The sequence below is a fragment of the Homo sapiens genome, chromosome 13, assembly GCF_000001405.40.
Source record: "Homo sapiens chromosome 13, GRCh38.p14 Primary Assembly".
Taxonomy (NCBI): Eukaryota; Metazoa; Chordata; class Mammalia; order Primates; family Hominidae; genus Homo; species Homo sapiens.
The window spans coordinates 94957216-94971897 of NC_000013.11; the positions used below are offsets into that span (position 1 = coordinate 94957216).

Here is a 14682-nt window from a genome sequence, read left to right on the forward strand (position 1 = left end):
AGATTCTTTATGGGAGAACCTTCTGAAACTCACTTAATCCAAAATGTGGTGACTGAAGCTCCCTACTGTCTCTTCTGCCCAGTTGAAGTTGGATTTCTTGTGGTTCTGGACTAGCGGAACCTCTCTTCAACCTCCACCTCCTACATGGCCTTTGCGCATTTGAACACAGTCAATACACCTCTTTGTGGCAAAGGGATTCCACGTTACTGGGCTTCTGAATAATTGTTATCTGATTATTATAAAATCACAGAACTTAAGAATGAAAAGGAACCTGAGATTATCTGCTCCAACTTCTTCCCTGTGCAAGAATCTGGCTACAATTCCCCAGCAGCTCCGAACCCTACTTAGTTAGGGGATTGACTGCATCGGGGGATAAGACGGGTTGCACTAGGGTAGTCTATATTTTAAATAAATCTATAAATTAAAATGCTCTTCCTTGAGCAAAGCAGTTTGCCTCCCAGTACCTTCCACTGGGTCCCAAATAGTCTTTCTAGAAAGATACAAAACAAACTGGAGCTTTTTTTTTTTTTTCAAGACAGAGTTTCACTCTTGTTGCCCAGGCTGGAGTGCAATGGCACGGTCTCGGCTCACTACAACCACCGCCTCCCAGGTTCAAACAATTTTCCTGCTTTAGCCTCCCAAGTAGCTGGGACTACAGGCCCGCACCACCATGCCCAGCTAATTTTTGTATTTTTAATAGAGATAGGATTTCACCATGTTGGCCAGGATGGTCTCAAACTCCTGACCTCAGGTGATCCACCCGCCTCAGCCTCCCAAAGTGCTGGGATTACAGGCGTGAGCCACTGCACCCAGCCTGGAGCCACTTTCTTATAGAAAACCTTCAAATACTTGACACTTCTAGATACTCTGATTTACATACACTTAACACACTTGGCTTTTAGATCAGAAGACTGAATTATGCTTTAGTCTTTTAATGTTATGGTGTTTATTTTCACACTAACATTGCAATAAAACTACACAAATACCAAATATAACAGTTACACATGAATGATAAAGAATAAATACTTTAAATAAAGTTAAAAAAAAGAAGCACCTTCACTTGCAAAGTAGAAACTTCACAATAGTTTATATCAGTTGTCTAAATGGGATATGTCCAAAATCAACCTTTGTGGTGGAGGAAGAAAAGTATAACTTCTACTGATAGTTTTAAATCTAAAATGTAAGAAAGAAACTAAGCTTTATTAATATTTATGATATGAAGTAGTACATGTGTATACTTTATGAAAAATAAACATGCCTAGGCTAGGGCGTATGTTCAGGTTTCCTTAATTATAGGTATACACTATCAAAAAATGTCTGGAGCCCTCTGGTTTAAACTATTTTGATTAACTATTAACTCACTCATCTAAGTTGCAAATTTCTAAAAGTAAAGTAAAACATTAGTATCCTTAAACAGAGAGATATTTCATAAAGTAGTCTGAGATTATGCCAGCAAAAAAATAAAGAATGTATTTCAATGTGTTTTAAATTGCATTAACTGTTTTAATGACTCAAATAGATGTTGTTTGTCTAAATCTCCCAAAAATAAGACAAATGGAAACAAAGTTTACTTAATCTGATAAAACAGAAATAAAAAGTGTATTCTAATACCAATTTAATCTAATTAGAAATCATTGATTTAATTTTTCTCTTTTAGTGCTGTCATTGCTATTATAACAGTTGTCTGAGTCAAGATAACATTTTTTCCCCAGTGATTGCTGTCAATGATTATTCAGGGATCACTTTTATCCTTTCTGGAGCAATGGTGCATAAAGCATATATAGGATGCTTTAATCTAGGTACATAGCTCAGTAAATCGGGATATTATAAACCTATGCTATGAGGTTTTTATCTGTGATCTTGAATAAAGTGCTAATGTTTTATATCTTTCTCCATCTTTAAAATGGGGGTAGTGGCCTGAAGGTACAAAGAAGCATCTGGTTTAAAAGAAGAAAGCAATGAAAAACAACAACTTAGGAAATAAGAGAATGAACTTAAGAAGTCTGAGATAGAGACCCTATGGAGATACTAGTCAGGCACAGTTATTTGAAAAACATGTATACTCTGAATTCGCCAAAGATATTTATACACCGCAGCGGCAGTAATATTGTAGCAAATCATCCTCAAAATGGGGCAGTTCACTTTAATAGGAAGGAAAAAGAAACACATCAGAATCACATCACTTAACTATTCAGTGAATTTGCAGCACCTCTAACTTAAAGAATATCACACACATTCACTCGCACATACACAGATTACACAAAAACCAAAGAACTGAATCCGTTTTGTTTTGTTTTTTTCTGATTTTTAAAAGACAGATTGGTACTACTGGAACTGAGGAGTAAGAGGTAATAATTGCCCATCCTTGATATGCATTTTAATGAATGTTCAGCAGCTTTGTGTGTGTGTTTGAATCCATGTATTATTTCTCTCTATTTTCCTTTGATGTCTTTCACAGTTGTGATGTATACAGAGTGGCAGAAACAGCAGACAATGCAGTATTCGGAAGATGTTAACCTGCTCAAGAGTTTAGTGAGCTTTGCCGTCCTCCTTTTCCCCATTACCCCTCAAGTCTGAGTAACAAACATTACCCAGCGCCAGTGTGACTGCTGCCCGGAAATTCTCTGATGAGGCTGCCTGATTTGAATCCTAACTAGCAAAACCAAAGGACTCTAGCTCAGACTCCAAGGGAAGATGAATAACATAAATGGCCTTCTCTGCTGGAAAAAAAAATCTAATTATATGTTTATAGATTTTTTTAAAGGTTGGCATTGAATACTCAGAAATATATTAAGATCATATTTACCCTCAATAGGAACACTGAAAAGGAAATGATATTCTGAAACAAAAGGCCAACTCTAAACCTTGGGAGATGGTGACAGTTACAAAATGCAGGCCTGTGAAGGAAGTGTGTCCATAAAATGCTGACACCATCTTCTTTCTCATCAGATGGGTAGAGAGAGTTTAGAAGCTCAAAACCACCATCATCCTTTCACTGTTCCTTTCTGAGTGTCTTCTCAGTAAGTGGAAGATCCTTTTCTCACCTTGAGCTTAACATAAAATCTTTTTGAAAGTGACAATTTTTTGTTGTTGTTAGTGGTAGTTATGGATTTGCTATAAGAATACAGCAATTGCTAATATATTGCCATCAAAACAATTAATATAAATAATAATATAGGATGACAATATAGCATATAACTAACAGTGTGAACCTTGGATTCAGAAAAGCTTGGCTTTGAATCCTGGGTCCATTATTACTAGCTGTGTGCAAATTATTGAAACCCTCTCACCTCAATTTTGCATCCATAAAATGGGATCATAATAACGATTATTCAAATTCAACTTAAAGGGAAGTCTGAATTAAATGTGAAAATGTATGTATAAATCACACAAGTACTCAGTAAACAGTCACTATTAACATTGTCATAAATTTGTAGCTGTTGTTTCATAGTCACAGTGAGATGATAAGGAAAAATCCCTATATTCAAACTAGAATTGATTTCTAGTTCAATATTCTGAACAAATGTGTTATATACATTCTATCAAAATCACGAATCAGTTGTATGTTTTTAATTTGTTTGTAAATATTTGTCATGTTGTCATTTTTAGAGAATTTAAAAGGAAAAATAGTGTCTTGACTAATACCAAGCATTCCACTTACAAGCATGTTTTCCTTTTAGCACTGCCTCTTGTTGCATATGGGTCCAATGCCCTGATTTTCAAAATGTGGTAGGAAACTAGTGAACTGGTATCAATGAATATCTTGTAGTTTGTCCTGTTCTCATTCAACTTGTAAGTTCACTGGATACATGCATGAGTATTTTAATTGGCCAGAAAGGCAGTTATTGATCTGGGTCACATCTCCACAAGATTTTATAGAGATAGGTTTGAATAAAGTAGTCCTAAGGCTTAAATATCAGAGGCATAAAGGGAAGAAGACATTTTGCCACACACTGTAAAAACAAATAATCTTGATCATGCAGACTCCATATCTTACAATATTGTTAATTTACATTCCACATCTTAGAACACTTAGACTCCACCACCTACTATGGCAGGCAGAAAAGGTTCATAACAATAAAAAGGATTCCTAAAGATGTACAATTGGCGTTTGCATAATATTGAAAAAAAACTCTTGATCAATGATTATATTTTGATATCTGTTCTTGCTATATAACTCATCATACCAAAATTTAGCAGCTTAAAACAACAAATATTTCTGTTTCTGTGGGCAGAAATCTAGGAGCAGCTTGGGTAGGTGATTCTGACTCAAGGTCTCTCTTGAGGTTTAGTCAGACCTGGGCCACAGTTTCATCAGAAGGCTTGACTGGGAGATCTGCTTCCAAGCTCATTCATGTGGTTGTTGGTCAGCCTCAGGTGCCCATTGGCTGTTAACAGAGATTTCCATTTTCTGCTCTGTGGTCCTCTCCTAAGTTGCCTGAATGCCTTCATGACATGGCAGCTGGCTTCTCCAGTTCCTCGTGAAGTATTGGACTGAGGGCTTCTGTTCTTTGCCATGTGGGTCTCTCCATAAGGCAGTTTGCAACCTGGCAACTGGCTTCCCCTACAGCAAATGAAGACAGACAATATGAGCCTGTAGCCACAGTCTAGGATAACCTAATCTAGGAGGTGACATGCCACCACTTCTCTGTATTCTATTGATCATAAAGAAAATCTGGTACAGTGTGGGAGGGGACACCAAGGTTGTGAAGACAAGGAGGTGGGGATGGTTGCGGGCCATCTTGGGGGCTAGCTACCGCAACCCCCATGGTGGTTAACAGAAGAATGGGCCTCTTCTCTGCCATAAGACTGATAGGGTGCCGTGGGGGGTTTTCTGGCTGAAAGAATTAGACAGGTCTTGGCTAGACGAGGTGGCTCATGCCTGTAATCCCAGCAATTTGGGAAGCCGAGGCAGGAGGATCGCTTGAGCCCAGGAGTTGGAGACCAGCCTGGGCCACATAGTGAGAACCCATCTCTACAAAAAAATAAAAATTAGCCTGGCATGGTGGCAAGTGTCTGTGGTCCCTGCTATTCTGGAGGATGAGATGGCAGAATCACTTGAGCCCAGGAGATGGAGGCTGTAGTGAGCCATGATCATGCCACTGCACTTTAGCCTGGGTGGCAGAGTGAGACCTTGTCTCAAAAAAAAAAAAAAAGATAATTAGACACCCTCATGCCTCATGGTTGTGGGAAGGGTCTCAGAACAAAAAATCAAATGGAAAGACTTAGGTGCAGATATTTAAATGTGAAGCCACTTGTGATAGTTAAGTTTCTATAAAGAAAACATTTCTCTTATGACTTTTCCCCAAGGAATGAAAGAAGAGATGATTTGGGAAACTCTACTTTTCCCTTAGTTACTACAGTCTCCAAAATGTTTAGTTTGTGAACAAATCCAGTCAGGTGACAAATTTTCAAGAATGTCTTCAATTTATAAAATCTTGGAGGTAGAAGCCACCTAGAACCATGCCTTCATGTTACAGATGAGGGAGGGGGACCCTGGGGACACTGAGAGACAGAAAGAGAGATGGGAATGGAACTCCCAAAGGGATATCACTTAGCTTTTTTTTTTTTTTTTTTTTAAATCCAGGGACAGCTTAGGATAAGATTTTGCCATACAAGGCTTATATTTTAATTCATTCAACACATTGGGAGGTACCTCCTGTGCCCAGGAAAGGGAAAATAAGACAAGACTTAGTTCCTGTCTCCAAGGAGCACATCTTCTCAAAGGGAGGAGGGAGAGCGAAAAAAATACGAAGCAAAATGTCAAGACAACGTGGTCAGTGGAGCTCAAGCATCTGATGGGTATCAGTGGAAACTAACAGTGCTGGAAGGTGATCATTTGTGCTTTACTCAGTATCTAATCAAATGGGGAGCAAATTACTCATCTATGGCTCTGTCTTTTAAGTTGTTTAGGAGAATAATGAACTTTTAGATAGAGTATAGGTAGGAAATACTGAAAGCCCTGAAAATATTGACTTTTCACCATAATTTAAATATTCAAGTTCTGGACTTACTAATGACACTTAAAAATCAAAATGACCTGGCAGTTCTCAAACGTTTGCTGTATCTGTATATTCATTTAAGCACATAGTTACTATCTGCTGTGTGCCAGGCACTGTGCCTGGCATGAGTGATAGAGCAATCAGTAACTCAGATGTGTCTCCATGCAGGCTTTATGAAGCTCATTATCTATTCATTATGTCCACTCTGCAGAAATGGTCACTTCTCTCTTTGCATCATGGGTGGCTTTATTTTTTAGTTTTTACTGCCACAATTGTCCCCAAGGCTACAGGGAAGCAAAGTCTTCAAAACTTAACAACAACAACAAAAAAATCTGGCCTCTCGAGGTGAAAAAATTGATGGAAGTATTTGCACTGTTGTCACTGGGTCCAACAGAGCCACCATTTCTTGAGGAAACCCTTTTGGGATTTGTTTCCTTAATGCAAAATGTACTTGAGATGTGACTCAACTTAGCGATGTCCCAGAATAAACTTTCACTTCCAGAGTCAGAGATAAGTACATTTTCCTTCTTCTTCGGGTCATGACAGATTGGCTTGGAAGGAAAGCTTGGGTCACGTCTAGGAAGTAACTGCCAGTCATTTGTGTGTGTGGTTCACTGGAACATTCAGGCTCTTCCAGGGACTGGCTTGTTAATGGCTGAACAAGCTAAATGCCAATCAGGAGAAAACCATTTGTTTTCCATGAATACTTCTACTTCTTGTGATCTAGAGCCTTCCCTCAAATCTCATCTATTTAGGAAGGATTCGAGGACAATGGATTAATAGCATTAATATTTCCCTCTCCACCTCCTGGAGGGCTCACATTTTTCAGGAGAAGATGACATCAGTGTGAAACTTGCCCTTCTTAAGCTTTCAGAAACATGTCTCCTTATTTAAAGATTAGATTATCCTTCTCTACTGTTTTCCATTAGATTTGCTTCTTTTCTCCTTTTTGGAGAAGGCCAGCTCACTATTTTTAAAAGGTGATGGACCATGTCAGGATTTAGAAAGTGAAAGGAAAGAGATTGGTTTGGATTTTCTCAGTCTTTGTCTGCTCTAAAGCTCAATAAACTTCGAATGGTGACTGCAGGTATAAGGGTAGAGGAAGGCTTTTATATCCTTAGAAAACCTACGTTTCAGTTGGATTACAGAGGTAGTCAGAAGATAGGGAAAAAGTTCCAATAGCATTTTGACTACTTTCCATGTCAAAGGATATATATCAGCCGTATTCCATTGCTATGAGAATCAGCATGTTTAAGTATTGATAAAAAAAATTTTAGGGAACACAATACAAGTTATCAAAAAATTGGATGAGTTTGTTGTAATAAAGACAGGACTGTATGTAGTTTATATTCAAGTTTATGGATTCTTCTGAATACTGAATAAATTGTCAAAATGGTACTGAAACTCTATGTGAAAGGCTCAGCCTAAATTCTGTTAATCTGGCTGATACATCTTTCTGTGATTTTAAAAAAAGATTCGGGAGTGGGGAGGGATAGCTTTAGGAGATATACCTAATGCTAAATGACGAGTTAAGGGGTACAGCACACCAGCATGGCACATGTATACATATGTAACTAACCTGCACATTGTGCACATGTACCCTAAAACTTAAAGTATAATAATAATAAAATAAAAATAAATAAATTTAAAAAATAAAAATAAAAAATAAAAAGACTCTAAGCAAAAATTTTAAGCTTATTCCAGCACCATGATAAAGATTCCTTGGGACTCGATTATATTCATTTATTGTGTGGATCCCATGTAACCTGTCTTTACATTTTACAATGTACAATTTACAAAATAACACAGCATACAGAGCACATCTAAAGCAGGTGGTAAAATGGAGATGTGCCACTCTCATTGTGGGTTTATATAACACATAGGAATCTCCTTAGTCTATGCTTAAAATATGAAACTGAGCAAAAGTCATTGGTCAATATTTTTATGAGCATAGATTTCCTCTCCAGTTTCTTTATCAGTAATACATGCGATAAGATCAGAGTAGCCTGTGGCCACTCAATGGTTAACATATTAATTTATTAAAACTTTCCAATTTCAACCAGTTGGGTCGAACTGGAGAAGTTAGGGAATTTGAGGAAGTTGGGGATTTTTTTTTTTTTTTTTGTGGGACGCTGCCAATTACGGAATTGATAAACTTGAATTCACACCCAGTGGTGGAGCTCAGTCACCTTTTTCACAAAGTGAGTTTTCACTCTTTATTTCTGTGTACTTAGCCTAGGGCTCCCTTTCCCTTACCAGAGAGTTTTGCATATCAGAAATGATTGAGAAAAAAATAAAGTTATTATGTGCACTAGGAACTGAAGACAATGCCTGCAGCCAAGGTTAAGGAAAGATTGAATGAGGTATGGTACCATTACTTGTGTATTATGACTACTCTCCAATTTGGAGAAATAAATACTGTGTAATAATCTATTATCAGATAGCCAGTGCTGCCCATCACCCTTTCTTCAGTCCTTTTTATTTGGGTACACAGATGTATCAAGGGAGGATAAATTAATTAACTATGCATAATTACCAAATTCTCTAAACACACGCAGACTTTACACAGTGTCTTTGCTGGACAGTGCAGGTTGTTGGTATAGATGGTAGATAGCCATCATCTAATGTAAATCTATTCACACAGCAGGGTCAAGTGAATTCAAATTCAAATGATGCACCCATAATATGTTCTCTAACGTGAAGCATTGTAAATTTCCTCACTGCAGAATGCAATAATGCCTTCGATATAAGGTATTCATCCCGATTATACTAATCACCATGGTGCATTTAGATATCCAAAGATACTGTATTTTGAGCATATAGGATTTATATAACTTTAAAATTTTGTGATTCGGTATTTTTACTTGGCTAGAGGTATTAATTTGATTAAATGCACACGAAGACTTTCTCCCAATACCCAAAGAAAACTATTTGCATTTTTTAAAATTATCACAGCTTGTTATATAATTACAGCCTCTGGGGCTAGATTTCTTTAACAATGCCCCAGTCTCCTCTCTACTGCTTCTCTAATGACAATACACTTTCCCTTCAAAGTTTCCCAACCTATTGCTTTCTATAACTTACCTCTTCCTGTAAGAAGCAAGTTTGTTAGCTCATTAATACAGAACTTACAGAGAGGGTTCACTACATATCGATCTAATTAAAACGTTTTTGAGTCAGGACAACAATAATAATGGGATTAACTATTGTAATTTGTGCAGCCAAAGTATATACATAAATAGGTAATCTTTATTTTTCTATATTACTGGTGGAAAATGAATTTCAGACATTAGGACCTGGGAGAGTCGGGAGCTACAGCTGCTGAGCTAGTGCCCCTCCCATGGTTCTGGCCAGCAGCCCTGACATCCCTGCACAAAGTAATCACAGATCACAGCATTTAATCACTGAAAACAAGCACTCCAGAGGACAGCGGTGTCAATATCCCACTCTCTCATTATCTGTTTGGATTGCACATCCACACTGTCAGATAAACAGAGTGGAAAATTAAGATTAAAAATATGGTAATTTCATTTCAGGCAGCAGGCACCACTCACTGCCCCTATTATGCTATTGATTACCTCTGAATTCAATTTTTCTTTCAATGCAAACTTTAATCTGTTTGCTACCCAGCAATTCAAGTCCCCAAGGGCTATTTGAGAGTAAGTAACCATTTAATCTGATGCTAACTGAAAAATCACCGTCCTTAATGAATTGTGTAAATCATTCAGCTCTAAAGCACCTTTGACTTCTATTTCATTTTTTATTTTCCACTCAATATAGGAAAGGATCGGCGTGTGAATAATTACAAAGTAGCAAGTATTTTTACATACAGCAAATATGATAAAAACCCTATTATAGTGGGGCATGTGTAATGAACAGTACTTTTTAATTTCAAAATAGCTATTCATTAAAAAAGAATGGGAGATTAAAAAGAGAGGCTCAAAGCTCAAGGTAAAAGTTGATAGACATTGTAATTACATGGTTAATTTCAAAGATTTATATGCTGTTATTTAAAAGGAATTTTTATGACCTGACATTTTCATTTGAGAAGATTTTTTATTTAAAATTAATCTTCGAGCTCCTATTCTTAATTATTTCTTGGCAAGCGATAAATGGTAATACAAAAAAAAATGCCCTATATCAAATTTTAAGCGGAATAAATGCATGCGAATTTTCGAAAAGCAATAAAGTGGTTTTTACTTATTTGAATTGCGTTACATTGAAATCCCCTGTTGGGGGAATTTGTGGGCGAGAGCTGGAAATTATTGGCCCATTTAAGGGAGCAGCAATCTTACTGCAGTGCAGCGTTTATGACACTTGAAAACAGATTGGAGAGTGGGTTTTGCTCGGGCGACTTGATTGTCTTTCAAGTTGGCGTTAAGAGTTTTCAACAGGTCTCCTTCCCTGCCAGCCGGGACCCCGGGGGTCCCTCGGAGCAGGGCGGGTGGGACCGCTCGGCCTCCTTCTCTCGCCCGCACGGGCGCCGCCGCAGACCCGGAGCAGGCACCCGGCGGCCGCCGCGTGGGCTGCAGCTTAGCCTCCTCTGCGGGCGCCCGGCAGGGCTGCGCGGCCGAGACTCGGGGCGCCGGCGCCGGGGCGGCCGGGAGCTCTGTCATTTGGCAACTCCCTGCAGACTGATGACACGGCGCTTTCCATGGTCGAGCCCCACAAAGTGTAGGGCTGCGGGGCGCACCTGGCTGGGCTCCTAATTACCCGGCCTGGGACGCACGGGGCAGCCGCGGAGGGTGGCGCCTGGGGTCGGGCCGGGGTCCCCTTCGCCGCAGTCCCGCCCACCCGCAGCCTCCGAGGGGTCCCGGCCAGGGCGTTCTCCACACGCTCGGCTACCTGCAGGGGTTCGCCACTGCAAGCCGGGCCAGTAGAAGTTTGGGGGCGAAGGCAGAGAGCATTTCCTTCTCGGCTTTTGGCGCCTCCACGCTGCACAGAGGCAGGGGCGACTCTGCAGGCCCCGTTTCCCCCATCCTCCCCTCCACCCCAGTTCCCCGCAGGACGTAGGCGCCGTCCCTAGCTCCCCCTTCTGTCCTCGCCCTAACACCGCAGGGCCTCTCCTGGGGATGTGGGGTCCTGCGTGCTTTTGGGGGCTACAAAAAGTGGGGGCCGTCGCAGAGCAGAGGGAAGCTAGGAGCGGGCAACGAATTGAATCCTGGAGACCCGGGAGGAGCGAGGCTGCTGCCGTCCCCGGGGAAAGGGCGACTTCGGCGGGGATACCCCGTGCCAGGCCCTGCAACTCCCGGGCCCTCGGGAATGGGATGGGGGAGGCGCGGGGTGCGCGCAGCTCCCGGTGATGTTAAGGCGTCCGATGGAGACTTGGGTTATTTGCTTCGCGTATCCTCCCCTGTTCCTCTGCACCGAGCTCCTGGCTGCCGCTGCGGCCGCTGTGTGCCCGAGGGGCGGCTCTGTAACCCGGCTCCAGGCATTTCTTAGGTTTCCCATCCCCGCCCTCCAAGCTCCCGGGAGCGCCTGCTCCGCTGCCCGCAGACAGGCGTCGTTCAAACCTCAGCTCTGCTCGGTCTGCATTCATGGACCCCAGATCTTCACCCTAGGATTTCCATCTCAGCATTTCACGTTCCCGGGGAAAAAGGGAGAGGGAGAATGAGAGATAACCGTGAGCGCCTAAGCAAGGGATTCCTTGCAGCTCCATTACGGGAGATGCCCTTTTGCTCTAACTCCCTGTAACTTAAGAAGAGGCTGCACAAAGCTCTGATCTCGGGGAGGAGTCTTGGGGTGGAAAGTACAAAAGTCAGTTGTGCCGGGCAAAAACTGAAGTTGAAATCTTATCCTGCACCCAGCTCTTGTTTTGAATTTCTGAACTTGAGCTAGTGAGTGTTATTTCAGGTTAAGAATAGTTCTGGGAGGGCGTGGGGTAGTGGGGAGGGTGCAAACTTCTTGCTTGATCCATTTCCACTCTTCAACCTTAAGGACTACCCATTTTAGCTTACAGGATGGTAAGCCCCCAAATCAAAACCCTTTCATTTACTCTATGGATTTCCACTTGCTCAGAGGTGTAACAGCTCTGTAGGCTTGGTTTTATCATTAAAAAAGAAAGAAAGAAATCAACATTAGCAAATACTTATTTCATTCACTAAATATTTATTGAGCACCAGACACCGTGCTAGGCAGAAGCCGGTCACGGTTCAGGCAGTTTTATAAAACATTTTATTTTGTTGGAAGCAATGAATGGCTGCATAACAATACTTAATGTATTTTAAATGCATGCATTACTTCTCCAACTGGCTATAATAGCTTCCCTAGAACTCATCTGAGCTGTCCTGTCAATGACGGTTTAAAGACCGTGAATCCTACAGATTATCAACTACTAGGTACTGTCCAGAAGGTGATCATCCGCCCAGAACTTGGGGCTCTGACCTTTTAAAATACATTCAAAACTATAACCTTTATAGGTCATAATGCTGGAAATGTTGATGCATTCAATGAAGAGCATATTTTGACTACTTTCATTTCTATATTGCCTACATTTTAAAAATTTTTTTATTTGCTTGTTCCAAAATTTCCAAAGGCCACATTCTCAGTGTGGTCCATGAGGCAGCATATTTTTCAATTTTAAAATATTGAATTATGTGCAGACCTCAAAAGAAACAGTAAACGTTTGTTCTGATCTTTGCTTTAAAAACGCCTGGGCCAATTAATTTTTTAGCTGTTGATTTTTAAAGTAACACTTTCACCGAGAAGGAGGTGGAATGTCAAGAAGCTGAGCCCATTAGGTTTGCATTTTCTCAGTCTGAAAATGCATGCAAAACAGCGCATTTGTAAATGCAGACCTGTGACAGTATATGTAAATGGAATATTTAATAAATGCAAAGCCCCTTTAAAATAGTAACCAACAGTCTGACCTGTCAAATGTGACAAAAATACAGGTTTATGTTTATCCCTCTGTCTTCCCTTATGTCCAGTGAGTTGTATTGAAGTCTTATAATTTTGAAGATAGACTATTAGCACAGAAAAACTAAAACAGGCTTCCTACCATTACCCCCTATATTTTCTTGATTTTTTAAAAATTATGTTTTTGTTGTTTAAATGATCATTTCTTCTGGCTTGGAAATTGGGAAATTGGGTGGCAGGAATCAAGGAGCAGGTTATCAGGAATACTAAAACCTTCCACGGAGAGGTTGCTACTCTGGCTTAATTCTTTTAATAGCGGGTGTTTTCTTCCCTCTGTTCCTCAATTACATTTTAAAAACAATCATAGGCAGGAGCATATATAAGACATAAATATCACTTTCCCTTGAGTTTTAAAATCTGACATTGGGAAATAGAGAATGGCATTAAAGAAGCTGTCCCTTCCAGTGTAACTGTTAGAGTTCATTTAGAGGAACGGGCCCAAATGGCTCTCCTGGTGAAACACTTCTGAATCAAAAGCTAGTCTGACTGTCAACCACTTGGACCAGGAATCACTTAGGGTTTCCCTCGGGAAAGGACTATGTTGGTAGCATTGATGGGAAAAGTAGTGACGGGATGGGGGGTGCATATAAGGAGTCCATATGGAGAAGCTGAGGAGCTCTGTGGAGGAAATCCCATGTATCAAAGCTACTAAGAGCTGAGGAGAGCAGTGGTTATGCACTGGAAACATGTACTGAAAATTAAATGAAGAATCTGTTCAGTGTTAGTTTAGATGAGGGAGTTCTCTTGACCTTTGACAAGGAGATAGGAAAATCCAGGAGAAGTACATGAAAAAAATGTTTAAGATATGGGTATAAATTATACAAATGCTGGACATAAAGGGTAGGGAAGAGAAAAGAGATCAGGTATTGGGAGTCATTTATTCATGCATTTGTTCTGCAAATGTTTATTGAGCACCTACTAGCTCTAGCCACTGATCAAACCTTGGGAATGAAGACCGTTCCTGAATGGAGTTACATTGCATTTATTAAAATTAATGCCTCTCATTGGTTGCTACTGCTAGAGAAGAGAAAGAGTAATTCATAATTTACTAGGTGCTGACTCAATGCTTTCCTTTAGGACTGCAGTGTCCCTCTGGCCAATGGAATCAGAGATTCCAAATGGCATTTTGTCCATTGAGTCATTCAAATTCAGTTCCCAAAGGTGGTCCAAACTCACCAACTTTCACATAGTTGAGAGGAAAATTAATATTTTCAAGGACCTACCCCTAGGCTGGGGGTATTTGAAATGTTAGTCCACTTAATCCACAAAATGATACCCATGAGGCCGTCATGCTTACTTTATTACAGATGAGGAAACTGCTCTCCCAGCATGAGACTCCATCCAGCTAATGTGTAAAGTTACCTTACAAACTGCAAGCTGTTATGTAAATGTAAGGTATCTCTGTTAAACTTTAACTCAATTTATTTTTAAATATCAATTCTGACAATGGTGAAGTGACAAGACATGACCCTCATTTCATTATTGGCAATGAAATGATTTCTAAGCATCTTCCTCTTACTTTTTTTTCAGGTGAATTAATGTTATAGAGATTGTTCAAAATAATAATAATTTATCTATCTATAGATGTCTGTCCTGGTATAGGTTCCTGTCTCCAGATGGTCTGTGGGAAGAATTTGTGTTTTCAAGCTAGTATCTCTCATCCAGGCTCTGTGCGTGTTATTCTACTATGTTAAAGACTGGGGCTGGGGACGGTGGCTCATGCCTGTAATCTCAGCACTTTGGGAGGTGGAGGTGAGAGGAT

General features: G+C 40.2%; 1 long non-coding RNA gene across 1 annotated transcript, besides 3 other annotated features; it reads left to right on the forward strand.

Moving 5' to 3' along the window:
- Window positions 1–2825: 2825 nt before the first annotated feature.
- On the forward strand, window positions 2826–4104 carry LINC00557 (long intergenic non-protein coding RNA 557). The gene has a single exon (NR_047487.1). It is a non-coding gene; the product is annotated as a long intergenic non-protein coding RNA 557 (long non-coding RNA).
- Window positions 8995–10350: an enhancer, noted in NCBI's record as "VISTA enhancer hs341". NCBI's record gives its function as "enhancer in: neural tube[7/9] | hindbrain (rhombencephalon)[7/9] | midbrain (mesencephalon)[5/9]" and the evidence as "EXISTENCE:transgenic organism evidence [ECO:0001131][PMID:17130149]".
- Window positions 8995–10381: a biological region, named in NCBI's record as "VISTA enhancers hs189 and hs341".
- Window positions 9047–10381: an enhancer, noted in NCBI's record as "VISTA enhancer hs189". NCBI's record gives its function as "enhancer in: neural tube[10/13]" and the evidence as "EXISTENCE:transgenic organism evidence [ECO:0001131][PMID:17130149]".